Genomic DNA, 15332 nt, shown 5'->3' with positions numbered 1-15332 from the left:
GCTGGGATTACAGGTGCACACCACCAAACCCAGCTAATTTTTTTATTTTTGTATTTTGGTGAGGTTGGTCTTGAACTCCTGACCTTGTGATCTGCCCGCCTTGGCCTCTCAAAGAAAGAGCTGGGATTACAGGCGTAAGCCACTGTGCCCAGCCAAAACAGAAATTTTTAATTTTGATGTAGCAAATGTATCAGTCTTTTTTTTCAGTCCCTATTTTTTGTTTCTCTACTGTATTTTCTCATTGTCCTGCAATTACTTATCACTCACCATATAAATATTTGTACCATTACAAAGCTGCATTTAGAAGATGCTCCTAGGACTTGAAGTTAGATTTCCTTTTCAGGACTTTAGTATGATTTTTGAACATTACAATCAGAATGGTTAAGAATGAAACTTTATCCCTCATTTCAACTCTAATTTGGATAACAGTGCTGTAAACTTGGGCTTCTTTTATGAAGAGATTCTTTAAAAATTTTTCTTAGTTATTTACTATGGGAATATGGCAAATTATTCCAGAACTATAGGGAACTAAAATGAATAAGCAGATATGATCTCTGGTCCTCAAAAGGCTTAGAATTTAATTGAGGAGACAAATAATGGACACGAAGCCATTCCAGGATACTCTGGGGTAAATCAAGTCGTCCTGAGAAGTTCTAGAGGAATTCAGGGGCAAAAAAAGGTAGCAATGTGCATATGTGGAAGTGTTTAAGGAAGGGATAAGGTCTGGAAGCAAAGAGACCATGGAGGAGACTTTGAATTCATCCAGACGAGGAGTGATAAAGGCACAGATTTTGGGGGAAATGAAAGATTACACGATGGCTCACACCTGTAATCCCATCTCTTTGGGAGGCTGATGTGGGAGGATCATTTGAGGCCAGGCCAGGAGTTCGAGACCAGCCTGGGCATCATAGTGAGACCCTATCTACAAAAAAACTTAAAAATTAGCCAGGAGTGGTGATATGCACCTTTAGTCCGAGCTACTCAGGAGACTGAGGCAGAAGGATCACTTGTACCCAGGAGTTCAAGGCTGCAGTAAACCTAGGATTGCACCACTGCACTCCAGCCTGGGTAAGGGAGCAAAACCATGTCTCTCAAAAAAAGAAAGAAAGATGACTGGCAGATAGTCAAAATCACTAACAAATAAGTTGTTCAATAAGAAAAGAGGTTGGTCTTTTTGTTCGAAAAACAAAAATACTCATGTTGACTTAAATGTAAACTGGTTGTTTTGATTTCAGTGATTTCGAAGCATGATTGAAGATTAGTATAATTCTGTCTTCTTGGGTAGACCAGTTCTTTTAGACCTGGTGGGTTTTTGCACTTAACTTTTAAGATCAATCATTTATTAAAGCTGTGTTTTTAATAAATAAAAATTATTTGAAACACCTTATAGTTGTGCCTGCATTAGTTGGTTTATTGAATAACTTAGGCAATCTTCCACTTTGACTGAAATGATTAAGATCAGTTTACCGAAAGTCATTTCATCCTTGCCTTGCAGGCATCTGGCTATTCTTGGTGCAGGGCTGATGGGAGCAGGCATCGCCCAAGTCTCCGTGGATAAGGGGCTAAAGACTATACTTAAAGATGCCACCCTCACTGCGCTAGACCGAGGACAGCAACAAGTGTTCAAAGGGTAAGCCTGCTCTCTCTCTTTGCAAGAGTTAGAATGTCCTTTGTTTCTTGGTTAGTTGTTTTTTGTGGTGGCTTGGTGGGTTTTTTTGTTTGTTTGTTCTTGCCATCACGGATTCCTTTTTCCTGAACATAATGAGTTCTAGATACTCCGTAGTGAAGCCAAGTTTCTTTTGATTTTTAGAAATGCCAATTCCTTCTTTGACTTCGTTTTGTTATAGATATCATAGACAATTAACATCCTTGGAGTCTGTAGTCTTTGAATGCAGAAGGGAAAATCTTATCTAGTAGATACTTGTTAATGCCATTTTACACTTTCGTATCAGGCCTGCGGATTTTGATATAGTTTGCAGGTAATTGCTCTATTGTTAAGGATTATTCAAACAGCATGACTGTCTCTGTTGAGAAGACTGAGTGAGGTTAGGATGTAAGGAAATGGGCAGTAACTGCAGGGGGAAGGCAGGGCCGGGATCAGGACTCTTCAGACTTTTATTTCCTGACTGGCATTACAGAGAGAAGCCATGAACTGATCCCTCCACAGTGTCTGGGGCTTTACAGACTATCTCCATCTTACCTCTGAATTAATAAAGGGGGAATATTATTCCCCTTCCTCACCACCTGCCTCTCTCACCATCACACACATGCTGCCTGTTTTGCAGAGGGGAAGGTGGAGCAGCAGCTTGGCCAAATGGAGGGTTGGTTTGATCAGTTTTCTGCTCACATTTAATGGACAAGCTGGCTGCACTTAAAGCATCCTGCATGTGACTTTTAGCTGAGTGAGCTTTTTTGTTTCTTAAATGGATTAGATAGCTTAAGCATGTTGTTATCCCTTTTCTGCAGAGAAGCTCACATATTGCTGCCATAATGCTAACCAGGACCTGGCAGGTTTCATCGTGTTGGCAGATTATTGTAAGATAACAAGTTGTAGTAGAAGATTCTGACCAAAAAAATGATGTGTGCTAGATAGCAGCAGTGCCCTGAAACTAGCATGCAAGCATCCCAAACAGCATTCCATACCATCACCAAAGTAAGAAATTGTTGCTCTAAAATAGTTTCCTCCCCCAGTCTCTCTTGAATAGTGTCCTGGGTTCCCCTTTTCGTCTTAGAAACATCAGGTTCTGGCGAGTGCCGCTCACCACACTGCTGACTTGGGACAATAGTTCCTGTCCTCTCTTGGGAATAGTTTAATCAGGCATTAGAATTAGAGCAACTGATAATGTTTTGAATGCTGACAAGTATCTTGTTTGCTGACTGCTGTCATGATTGTCAAAAACAAAAGCTTTGAGCCCATACTTTTAAGACCTTATTTGATGTTTTTGTTTCTTTTGAGACAGTCTCACTCTATTACCGAGGCTAGAGCACAATGGTGCAATCTTGGCTCACTGCAACCTCTGCCTCCCGGGTTCAAGCGATTCTCATGCCTCAGCCTCACGAATAGCTGAGACTACAGGCATGCGCCACCATGCACAGCTGATTTTTGTTTTTCTTATAGAGACGGGATTTCACCATGTTGGTTAGGCTTGTCTTGAACTCCTGGCCTCAAGTGATCCGCCTGCTGCAGCCTCCCAAAGTGCTGGGATTACAGATGTGAGCCACCATGCCCAGCCCTTAAGACCTTCTTTGAATACTCCTTTGTATTTATCTTGTGGCCTTAATTTTGCTTTTGGTTAAGGAAATTAGTGAATGGGGTTTAGCTTCATTCTTCATTTAGAGGAAAACTGTAGGTAATTTATTCTGAAAGTGTGGTCAGACGGAATCTAAGAGAACCTGTTTCCCTTGGCGACGAAAAATAATCAGTTGAATGTCTGAATAACAGGAATCCTTTTCTGCTCCCTATGGGAAAAAAGAAACCTTGAGTTAATATTTTATGTAATCAGTGCAATGTGCTACTAGGTAATGAGTGGGAAGTAGATGGAGAATATAGGAAATAATGCTTGGTCTCTGTTCTTTAGAAGATTACAACCACAGGCTGGGCGCGGTGGCTCACGCCTATAATCCCAACACTTTGGGAGGCTGAGGCGGATGGAACACGAGGTCAGGAGTTCAAGACCAGCCTGGCCAAGATGGTGAAACCCCATCTCTACTAAAAAAAAAAAAAAAAAAATTAGCCAGGCGTGGTGGTGGGCGCCTGTAATCCCAGCTACTCAGGAGGCTGAGGCAGAGAATTGCTTGAACCCAGGAGACAAGAGGTTGCAGTGAGCTGAGATCACGCCACTGCACTCCAGCCTGGGCAACAGAGCGAGACTCCGTCTCAAAAAATAAATAAAAAAAAAAAAAGATTACAACTACAGAATAACATAAAATTATATATTTGCGATAAGCAAATATAAACCATGTGGTCTCAGACACACTTTGGCTGCTTCCCCTGTCATAGGTAGAGAATTACCAGAACTCCTCTTTTGTTTTGCCATTCTAGTATTCATGTTATTTACTCCTCTTGGCAAATTTAACTGGTTTAAGAGTGATTTAGTTTACGTAAATTGGGCATTTGGAGGCATTCTATGGTAGAAAGAATGTGTACTTGGGAGTTAACATGTCTTTGAATGCTAGCACCCTCCCTTATCAAGCTATTTGACCACAGGTCCCTCTAAGACTAAACAACTTGAAAGTCTCCCTCAAAATGGGAGTAATAGAATAACTACCTCACAGAGTTGGTGAAAAACACAGGTGTGCTCTGGCCCATGGACATTCAATAAACGTTAGTTTCCTTTTCTTCCCATCTAACTAGGAATGTGTTTTTTCTAGATTGAATGACAAAGTGAAGAAGAAAGCTCTAACATCATTTGAAAGGGATTCCATCTTCAGCAACTTGACTGGGCAGCTTGATTACCAAGGTTTTGAAAAGGCCGACATGGTGATTGAAGCTGTGTTTGAGGACCTTAGTCTTAAGCACAGAGTGCTAAAGGAAGTAGAAGCGGTAAGCAAGGGGCTGTTGTACTTGAATCCTAGTGTAGTGAACAGAAAACACAGAGATTTTTTTTTTAAAGGAGCTATAGGAAACTCATGATTGCTTTTATAAAAAGGACTATTCAAAGGCTGGGCATGGTGGCTCACGCCTATAATCCCAGTAGTTTGGGAGGCTGAGGTGGGCGGATCACGAGGTAAGGAGTTCGAGACCAGACTGGCCGATATGATGAAACCCCATCTCTACTAGAAAATACAAAAATTAGCCGGGCATGGTGGCACACACCTGTAGTCCCAGCTATTTGGGAGGCTGAAGCAGGAGAATCACTGGAACCTGGGAGGCAGAGGTTGCAGTGAGCCGAGATCACGCCACTGCACTCCAGTCTGGGTGACAGAGCGAGACTCCATCTCCAAAAAAAAAAAAAAGACTTTTTGTTATCAAACGTTAAGTTTTTATGTGTGCTCATGCACACTGCATATGTTATAAAGGTCAAATCTAAATTCTAAAGGAAGAAAATGAGGGTGCGTTCACCTTATTCATGTAGGAGCTCTGTCACCCAAACATACAGATAACCTCACAGAGTATAGCCAGATGCTTTGAGATTTTTTGGTTAGCCGAAAGCCAAAAACAAACCTCTTCAGGTCTAAGGCTGCAAAGGAAATAGGGAAGACAGTTCGTCCAGATGCTTGTTCTGTGGAAATGCTGCTTTGGCCCAGCTCCCAAATGTTCTCCATAGGCACTTCTTGAGATGGGCTGACATGAACAAAACAAGTACTTGAAGTGGGGAGTAGGAAGAGTAAGCCCCGAGAAGGAGTAATAGCAGTAATTCAGGGATGAGGTAGGACCAAGGCCTAAGCTAGTCTACAGTTGGATAAACAGAATGTGGGTTACTGAAAGGTGAACATGAAATGATTCTGACTTGGCAACATGCTGGATATAATGAGCAGTGAGCTCATTACAAAAAATAAGAGTACCACAGAGCAAAACTCCGTCTCAAAATAAATAAATAAACAAACAAACAAACATTATCTTCTCTTATTGCCCATAGAGCTAACAAAACCCATTCCTTGGACAATCTTCCACAGGCATGATCTCTAGACCACCCCGTTTCGGTTGTCCTCTCTAGTATCTTCCTCATGTCTCCGTGTTCTACTGCTGTGTTTACAACTATCTTTTCACAATTCTGCAATCTGGGCAGGGCTCTGCAGAGACAGTGGTGCTTAAGTCCATTGATTTCAAGGCTGGGGTCACTCCTGGGCTGCATTCCGCAGGAAGCTCGGTTGGGGCACCTCACTGCTTCCCCCACATCTCTCATAGTCCATCCTCACTTAGTCGTCTCACCACAACTTCTTTGTAGCGTGGCTGCAGGCTTCCAAGAGAACAAAAGCAGAAGCTACTGAGCTTCCTAAGTTTATTGTCAGGAAGAAAAAAAGATAAATAATTTAAAAAATAAAAAAAGAGGCTACCGGGCCCCACAGGTCTAGGTAGGCCTGGAACTGGCAGGGTAACTTCTGCTGCATTGTGTTGATAAAAACAAGTCACAAGACCAGCCCAGATTCAAGGAGAAGGGAAACAGACTCTACTTCTAGCTGGGAGAAAAGACATACATGTCCAAGGAAGGGAAGAATGTTTGCCAGCCAGCTTTGGAGACATTAGTTTGCTCTTCAGAAAGGATTTCACCACCAGCATTAGACACTATATTACTAAGAAAGTAACCTGACACTACGTAAGCTTTCTGACAGTCATGCTGTACTGTCAATTCATTCCACTTTTGTTTTGTTTTTTTGTTGTTAGAGACAGGGTCTCACTCTGTCACCCAGGCTGGAGTGCAGTGGCATGATCACAGCTCACTGTAACCTTGAACTCCTGGGCTCAAGCGAGCCTCTCACTTCAGCCTCCTGAGTAACTAGGACTATGGGTATGTACCACCATGCCTGGCTAGTTTTTTAAAGTTATTTTTTGTAGGGCCGGGCACTGTGGCTCACACCTGTAATCCCAGCACTTTGGGATGCTGAGGCGGGTGGATCACGAGGTCAGGAGTTCAAGACCAGCCTGGCCAAGATGATGAAACCCTGTCTTTACTAAAAACTACAAAAAAATTAGCCAGGCATGGTGGCAGGTGCCTGTAATCCCAGCTACTCGGGAGGCTGAGGCAGGAGAATTGCTTGAACCCAGGCGGCAAAGCTTGCGGTGAGCTGAGATTGCACCACTGCACTCTAGCCTGGGCGAAAAAGCAAGACTTTGTCTCCAAAAAAAAAAAAAAAGTTATGTTTTGTAGATATAGGGTCTCACTATGATGCCGAGGTTGGTCTTGAACTCCTGGCCTCAAGTAATCCTCCATCCTTGGCCTCCTGAAGTGTTGGGATTATAGTTGTTTAGCCACCATGCCCACCCTCCACTCTTGATTAACTAAAATCATGGGATCTTTATCACAAATACTGCCAAGCCAGGTCTTGTCCTTCAAGTACCTATACAGTTCTTTTCTTTCCTTTTTTTTTTAAATCTTAAGGCAGTACTTTACTTTTATTGCATTATAATCTTATTTTGTACTCAGCTTTTCAGTGTGTTGAATGTGTCTTCCTCCTTGATTCTCATCTCTGTTAGGATTCTGCCTGTTCCAGATTTGCACACATTTGACAGGTGTCCCTTCCACGTTTCTCATCCAACCATCTGAATAAAAACATGAATAACTGGGAGGCGGAGGTTGCAGCGAGCCTAGATTGCACCACTACACTCCAGCCTGGGCAACAGAGCGAGACTCTGTCTTTAAAAAAAAAAAACAAAAAAAAAACATGAATAAGTTGGGATCGTGGCCAGAATGCGGAGACAATCTGCATTAGAGACTATTCTCCAGGTGGATAAAGCTAATAGTTAATAGTATTTGTGTACTGTAGCTGCAACTATAGTGGTATGCCGTTTTTTAGTAACACACTGTATAAAATGAGACAAGCATGCACATTTTGGCTTGTTCTTATAAAGGTGAAGCGGGGAGTGATTCAGGGCAGATCCAAACAAAAGAGGAGGTGACACCCATGCTGGGTGTTGAAATCAATGAATTGCAATTCAAGGCCGTCTTTTCAGTGTTGTTCTAAGCTGTTTTATTGACCCAACTGCTGAGATGTAGTCTCCAGGTCAGGATAAGGTGACCTTATGATGGGCCATAACTAGAGGAAGGCAGAATGGGAAAAGGAACAAGGTCAACATATTCCCCGACACAAAACCCCCTAGGTGATCCGTCAATGTCTGGGTGAGTGACATCTACTGTCTGAGCAGTTGTGGGGGACAGAGTGGGCTGGGCCCAGGTGTCACTCATTAGCTTTGATGTGGCCTCTAATCATCTCCCAGGCCTACCTGACACATTGTTAAATGCTTTTCCCCTGCAGGTGATTCCAGATCACTGTATCTTTGCCAGTAACACATCTGCTCTCCCAATCAGTGAAATCGCTGCTGTCAGCAAAAGACCTGAGAAGGTAAACTCGGAACAGAGAAAAACCCTGAGATGTTTTATTGCTTCAGATTCACTGATAAAGGCTTACAGCTTGAGTACAGAAGAGACAGTGGATTACGGAGTGGATGCGGGTGGTTCCTAAACACTGGACACAATAAATGCTAATACCATGACTAGTGTGAGATGCAGGAGTAAGTTAAGTACAACAAAAAATATCCTTTTCAAGGATCCCAAATGGGCATTATTTTTCAGGTTCAGGATATAAAGCCCACCTGTATCCTAGAATTAGGCATTGAAGGATAGGCCTTAAGAAAGGATGCTCCAAAATACCAGTTTGGCTACAGAGCAGAGTCAGTGACTGTTTAGAACAGGTTTGGTTCCACCTCCAGATCAGGGAATGGCAGGAATGGTGGGATGTGTCTGCCCGTGGGTTTGCTTACACCTTCTACCCCGGGACATGAAAGGGCTGGGTATAGAAGCACTTTCTGTGAGTATTTGGAATGATGCCCAGAAATTTATTTTTGCTCTCAACCAGAGTAATTAAGGGGAAGTGAAATCATTCAAAGAGAAGTAAAACAACTCACTTCTCTGGAGGATACCAGTTAGCCTCTGCTAACCAGAACCAGCCGAAGGTAGGCAGGAATTATAAAAGAACTTTAAGCAGCTGAAAGTGTTAATACAAATTCTATGTACTGAAAACACAAAAGCCTATTTATTCCTACTCTTCTAGCTTGCTAATGCAAGGTAATCTAGTTTCCTAGCACACAGCAGATTAGAAGTGATGCGGGGACCTGACAGAGGCAGGCTCAATGATGGCAGGCTAAAGGTCATAGGGAGAAGTTGCAGCCGATAGTCTACAGATGGACAGTCTGGCCATGTCATATCACTCAAGACATCTGTGTGGCATCTAAAATCAGTACAGGCGATGCCGTTGCTGTTCATTTGATGGTAACCTCTCCCCGCCATCGGAGCAGAGCAAGCATCACACTTTGCAGTTCTGCCCTCCAAGTATCTAGGACAGCTTTTCTCACCTGCTTGCCTTTTGTCATTCATTTAAAAGTAAGGCCAAAAAGACAAAATAGGGTGACCAACCATCTTGGTTTGCCCGGGAGCAAGGGATACAGGACCCTCAGTGCCACAAATTGGGAAATCCCCAGCCATCCAGGATGAGTTGGTCATCTTTGGCACAACTTTCTGAGTGATGTAAATATATTTTGCTTGGGTTAGTGATTATATGGATGTATATACAGTTGTCAAAACTCATTGATGTGAACACTTCAAGATCTGTGCATTTTATTATATAGAAATTCTACATCAATAAAGGCTAATTCCTTTTGCTCAGGAGTACTGAGTCTGAATCAGGTCCTAAGTATTTCAGATGTAAGTAAAAGAACACTTTAGGGGTTAGAAACAACTTTTGGATTGATAAGTTTACATAACATTTACTTGATCTGTGTATTACATAATGGCATTGGAGATAGACAGACCTGTGATGGAATCCCACCCCGTCATATGCTGACTGACTCTGTACTACTAACCTCTTGATACCTTTTTTCCTCATCTAGATAATTAGGCTGACCAGTTCATAGGGTTGTAATGGATTAAATGTAAGGAATAAGTGGTAAATGTATTGAAGAGCAGGTAGATAATGAGCAGCCAAAAATTACAGATATCACTTGTTGTACCTTATAGCTAAAGTGAGAGGGAGAAAGCAAAACTATAAATTAATGAATTAGACTTCTTTCACCACAGTTCTGTTGGGAAGACTATGTAACTGTTAGCTCAATGAGGGGTTTCTCTGAAACCTTAGCACGCATCAGAATCACCAGGAGGGATTATTAAAACAAATCTGGGCCCCACCCATGGAGTTTCTGATTCAGTAGGGCTGGGCTAGGCCTGAGAATGTGCAGGCCTAACGCTCCCAGGTGATGACAGTGCTTGTTGGGTCCGGGTACTACACTTGGAGAACTGCTGGTTTAATGAGTCTTAAGTGCATCTGACTGTTGAGGAGTGTTAGTTAAACCTAGTATCCTGGTGGTGAGACCCATCTGTGTAAAATGCAAATACTTCTCTGACAGCCCAACACATTAATTCTTCTGCCTGCCCCACCCCCGCCCAAAAAAACTGGATCCTCTTATCTAAACCATCAGTATCATTAATATAAGTGGAACCTTCATCCGTCGTTCCCCAATAAATCTAGTTTGGCCTCGAGCTGTGGTTTTGGCACTGATTGTTGGGAGGATCAGATGTCTGTAGTGAAAAACCTTAGAAGCAAATGGAAGAGGAGGATTCCAATGTGCTCTCCCTAAACATACTAAACTTTTATCAAAGACCCATGGAACCAAACCACTCAGCTATGTCAAGCAGTATTCCTATATCACAGCCACCTTTCTTTCTAGTGTTTTCCTAGCAGAGAAGGAATGCTCTCAGGTTCCTCACCCGCATTCTCCGATCTGTTGGCTTTTGGTTCCCCTTGCCAGGTGATTGGCATGCACTACTTCTCTCCCGTGGACAAGATGCAGCTGCTGGAGATTATCACGACCGAGAAAACTTCCAAAGACACCAGTGCTTCAGCTGTAGCAGTTGGTCTCAAGCAGGGGAAGGTCATCATTGTGGTTAAGGTAAGGGGCTGTATAACAGAGCTGCAGAGTTTTTGAAAAGTTCTAATAAGACTCCTTTTACCTCCAGGCTTGTTTATAAATATTCTGGGGCAAATGACCAGACTTTGATATGATTTTCCCCTGGGTTGTCTCCAGGATGGACGGTGGTATTGACTGTCCCACTGAGTCAAGGTGGGAGTGGGGAGTATCTAGGATGTGGCAGGGTTCTCCCAGCCATCCCAGACCTTGAAGGTGACCATGAAACTATCTGCTGTACTGTTTGATTCAAGCCAGGCTACCCCTAGTACGGCTTCCCCTGCAATTTCATTTTTAAGGATTCTGATTGAGATTTTAAGTCACCTTAAGTTTTACAGTGACTTTCAAATGACTTTGAAGTGACCCTGGGAAAGGTAGAGTGTTTCAGACTCAGTCCCAGCAGCAGGGCCAGGGAGCTCATGTTCTCTTCCTTGGCAGGATGGACCTGGCTTCTATACTACCAGGTGTCTTGCGCCCATGATGTCTGAAGTCATCCGAATCCTCCAGGTTGGTATTGCTCTCCAGAGTGTTTGCGGCATCTTCCACTCCTTCAGTCACTCTAAAACTCATGATGTCAAGATAAGGACCAAGCTTCCTTCTGATACACCAACTCCTGCTCTTGTCTAGGAAGGTCCCTGGTGCCCTCTCTCTGCACAGCAGTCGGAAGTTGGGCTTATACTGCACTGAAAGGGGCAGAGCTTTCCCTCTGCCCCACAGCCTCCTCACTGTTCCAGCAAGCTAAAGGCACCCCACCCCCCAGCATGTCTTCTATGCTGTTTCTGCACCTCTCTGAGGCAGGGACCATCCAGAACAGGGCCCGCTTGGTTCAACTGGTGCTGCATCTGTTTCCACAGCACACAGACCTCTCCAGTAGCCATCGAGGTCATTCTGGCAGGAAAGGAGAGGGATCCTCCTCGCTGGGCACTTACCCAGACTTGGGGATCACAGGGCTCTGAGTGCTCCTCTTTGATGATGTTTCTTCTGTTGGTCATGACACACTCAGCCGTCTGTCATGCAATCTCCTTATTATTGAGATTCAGAAATGCAAACAAGAAGAAAATGAAGAATTTAGTCATCTCTAAACGTCCTTAAAGTGCTGTAGATTAGAGAAGGCTCAGACTTTCCACTTGTGGCCCCAAACTTCTTTGTGCTTCCCTGAATGAAATAGCACCAGTCCTGGGCCTGGTCAGGTGACACTCAGAAGTGGGTTTTACACAAGGCAGTGTTTGGAGCCAGTACAGGGAGCCCTTTGGGGGGATTTGGGCTGCCCTTCCCCTGAGGTCCCTGCATCGCTTCCTGTTCAGGAAGGAGTTGACCCGAAGAAGCTGGATTCCCTGACCACAAGCTTTGGCTTTCCTGTGGGTGCCGCCACACTGGTGGATGAAGTTGGTGTGGATGTAGCGAAACATGTGGCGGAAGATCTGGGCAAAGTCTTTGGGGAGCGGTTTGGAGGTGGAAACCCAGAACTGCTGACACAGATGGTGTCCAAGGGCTTCCTAGGTGAGTAGCCTCAAGGAAACATAACTAGCACCATTAGTTACAAAGTTCTAAGCAGTTCCTGAGACCAAAGAGTTACAGAAGCCCTCGTGGAAGAAAGTTTTCTAAACACAGAGCCCTTATCACTGGCGATTTCAAAAATGATTTTATGAGTCAGGTGCGGTAGCAACCACTTATGGTCTTAGCTGCTTAGGAGGCTGAGGTGGGAGGATCGCTTGAGCCCAGAAGTGTGAGGCCAGCCTGGGCAACATGGCGAGGCCCCTTCTCAAAAAAAAAAAAAAAAAAAGATGTCATGTGAACCTTCTAAGGGCTAGGACTATAGATTATGGACAAAAGGCAGAGTTCTACCCTTCTGGGGCTCTAGCATCACCTGGTCCAAGTTATGCCAGATGGACAAGCATTTTTATCCCCCAGAGATGAAATCTGCAATAGTGCAGAAGCAAGCTCTGCATCCGGGCTTTACCATGCTGTCTGGCCACCTGTGAGGAGAATGTATAAGCTCACCATACACAGTATACAGTTGAGGCCCACAGAGAAGTGACTTTCTGTCTTGGCAAAACAGCAAAATCAGCATTACAACCTGGGTGTTCTAGGACCCGGTGCTGCATATGGGGATGTTAAAACTCACCCAGGTGGCCTTTCTCATCCATGTACACAGATGCCCAAGCTCCGGGTCACAAGATCTTCTTTCCTTCTCTGCCCACTCTTCTGACAAAGACTAATTTGCTAGGGTTAGCTAGACATACAAATTCAGGAATTCAGAAGAGGCCAGAGCTTTATAATAGACCAACAGAGACAAGAATTCTCAGGTCAGGGTCTTTTTTGTTTGTTTTTTGTTTTTTTTTGAGACAGAGTCTCACACTGTTGCCCAGGCTGGAGTGCAGTGGCATAATCTCGTCTCCACCTCCCGGGTTCAAGCGATCCTCCTGCTTCGCCCAGCTAATTTTTGTATTTTTAGTAGAGATGGGGTTTCACCATGTTGGCCAGGCTGGTCTCAAACTCCTGACCTCAAATGATCCTCCGCCTCGGCCTCCCAAAGTGCTGGGATTACAGGCGTGAGCCACCACGCCTGGCCAGGCCAGGGTTCTGAGAACAAATAGTAACACTCCCTCCCTGAGAACAAATAGTAACACTCCCTTTTCTTGCCTGTTTTAGGTCGTAAATCTGGGAAGGGCTTTTACATCTATCAGGAGGGTGTGAAGAGGAAGGATTTGAATTCTGACATGGATAGTATTTTAGCGAGTCTGAAGCTGCCTCCTAAGTCTGAAGTGTAAGTCCGTTTGAGTGGCTAATGCCTGGAAATTGACTTTCTCTGACAGCCCAAAGCTTCCCAGCCCCTCTTCCATTTTTTTTTTTTTTTAATACTTTAAGTCCTGGGATACATGTGCAGGTTTGTTACATAGGTATACACGTGCCATGGTGCTGTCTTCCATTTTCTTTGTGACCACCATACCTGAACAGGAGGACCACTCCTGATGCTGGCATGGTGCTTTCCAAGTGGAAGGCCCTCGCACGTGCTCCTTGGTCTCTGCCCAGCATCTAGGTGAGAACCAGGCCACGTCTGGTGAAGGCCCTCCCCTGCTCCAGCCTTCTCTGGCAAGTTCCCAGAGAGCCGCTGGAAGGACAGATTCTCCTTGGCCCCTTCACCCTCCCAGATCTTTATTATCATTTGTGAGCAGCTGACTGTTGCTGATGTCAAAGAGATACTGATTATCTTCTCGGCACCAGGCCCTGTTCTAGGTGCTCAGTTTCATGTTAATTAGGGCAAGTTACTCTCCACTTTTTCCATGGGAAAGTTTGGTTCACCCAGGCAGCATCTTCTCTGAGGGCCAGCACCAACCGGCCCACAGAGCTCCCCATGCACCCATCCCGACTTCCATTCTGCATCTGCGGCTCTGGCTTTCCTCCCCTTTTCCTCTTCTTCTACCTAAACATCTCTTTCTGTTGGCAGCTCATCAGACGAAGACATCCAGTTCCGCCTGGTGACAAGATTTGTGAATGAGGCAGTCATGTGCCTGCAAGAGGGGATCTTGGCCACACCTGCAGAGGGAGACATCGGAGCCGTCTTTGGGCTTGGCTTCCCGCCTTGTCTGGGAGGTTGGTCTCGCAGGTTGGGAAGGAAGCTCACTTTAGCCTGGAGCCCGTGTTGCGTCTCCTTCAACGAAGTCCTCTTTCTCTATTCAGGGCCTTTCCGCTTTGTGGATCTGTATGGCGCCCAGAAGATAGTGGACCGGCTCAAGAAATATGAAGCTGCCTATGGAAAACAGTTCACCCCATGCCAGCTGCTAGCTGACCATGCTAACAGCCCTAACAAGAAGTTCTACCAGTGAGCAGGCCTCATGCCTCGCTCAGTCAGTGCACTAACCCCAGCTGCCGGCAGTGCTGGTTCTCCAACAGAGTGGTGTCTAGATTTATCAGAGTAACGAGAAGACAAACTCCGGCACTGGGTTTGCTCCCTGATTAAAGTGCCTTCAGCCAAGACCATCTCTCCCTCCTGGTGAAGTGTGACTTCGAATTAGTTTGCACTTCCTGTTGGAAGGTAGAGCCCACTGCTCATTGTATAAGCCCCGAGGCCTAGAGTGGCAGCCAAGAGCCATCTGAAGCCACCTCTCTGCCTGTTCCTCCCAAGAGGCCAGGGTGGCCAGGGGTGGTGAGGGCAGTTCTGCACCCAGCCAAACACATAACAATAAAAACCAAACTCTGTGTCAGCATCTTTGCCCTTCTGGTTTAAACGCCTCCTTCAAAAAGCAATCTGGAAGAAAGCCCTGTGCTTTGGGGGAGTAAGAATGTGTGTGCAGAATTCTAGGCAGCACCTTAGGGAGGGACTGGGATGAGAGAAAGTGGGACCTGGTGGGCTCAACCACACACACCTGTCTGTGCAGATGCTTTGCCCAGGCTTCTCACCACGGTGTACCGGGATATTAAACCTCTTTCCCCAGCCTGGATTTCCTCATTGTGTGATCTTACCCATTTCTTTTCTGGGTGTGCCTCATTCATAGGTGCTTCTTGGGATGGTTGTGGGAACGTTGGTGCTAAGCAGAGGCGCTGACATCTCCCTTGATGTTCGGAGATCCTGCATAGCAGGGCTGCCCCAGAAATGCCTGTGCGGTAATCAGGCAGCACGGGAGCAGCATGAGGAGTGCTGACCCCCACAGCACCTGCACTCCCCCAAAGCTTCAGCCCCTCCCCACCCCACCCCCTGGGATGGAAAGTTCCTACA

The 15332-nt window shown here is 45.0% G+C and overlaps 2 protein-coding genes across 2 annotated transcripts in view; one reads left to right on the top strand and one right to left on the bottom strand.

Moving 5' to 3' along the window:
• Positions 1-15057, top strand: part of HADHA (hydroxyacyl-CoA dehydrogenase trifunctional multienzyme complex subunit alpha) — a 53998-nt gene extending 38941 nt beyond the window's left edge. Inside the window, exons 12-20 of the mRNA NM_000182.5 lie at positions 1496-1630; positions 4372-4543; positions 7915-8001; positions 10460-10600; positions 11054-11122; positions 11920-12115; positions 13268-13382; positions 14064-14209; positions 14297-15057. Coding sequence (NP_000173.2) covers positions 1496-1630; positions 4372-4543; positions 7915-8001; positions 10460-10600; positions 11054-11122; positions 11920-12115; positions 13268-13382; positions 14064-14209; positions 14297-14442 — 1207 coding nt within the window. The 3' untranslated portion in view covers positions 14443-15057. The remainder of the gene's footprint in view (positions 1-1495; positions 1631-4371; positions 4544-7914; positions 8002-10459; positions 10601-11053; positions 11123-11919; positions 12116-13267; positions 13383-14063; positions 14210-14296) is intronic.
• The window catches only part of GAREM2 (GRB2 associated regulator of MAPK1 subtype 2), a 31217-nt gene continuing 17272 nt past the window's right edge, over positions 1388-15332 (bottom strand). Inside the window, exon 7 of the mRNA XM_011532567.4 lies at positions 1388-3459. Coding sequence (XP_011530869.1) covers positions 3373-3459 — 87 coding nt within the window. The 3' untranslated portion in view covers positions 1388-3372. The remainder of the gene's footprint in view (positions 3460-15332) is intronic.

This window comes from Homo sapiens, chromosome 2 (genome assembly GCF_000001405.40).
Source record: "Homo sapiens chromosome 2, GRCh38.p14 Primary Assembly".
NCBI classification, from domain to species: domain Eukaryota; kingdom Metazoa; phylum Chordata; class Mammalia; order Primates; family Hominidae; genus Homo; species Homo sapiens.
The sequence above is the reverse complement of the archived record's forward strand: the minus strand, read 5'-3'. Positions and strand labels throughout refer to the sequence as shown.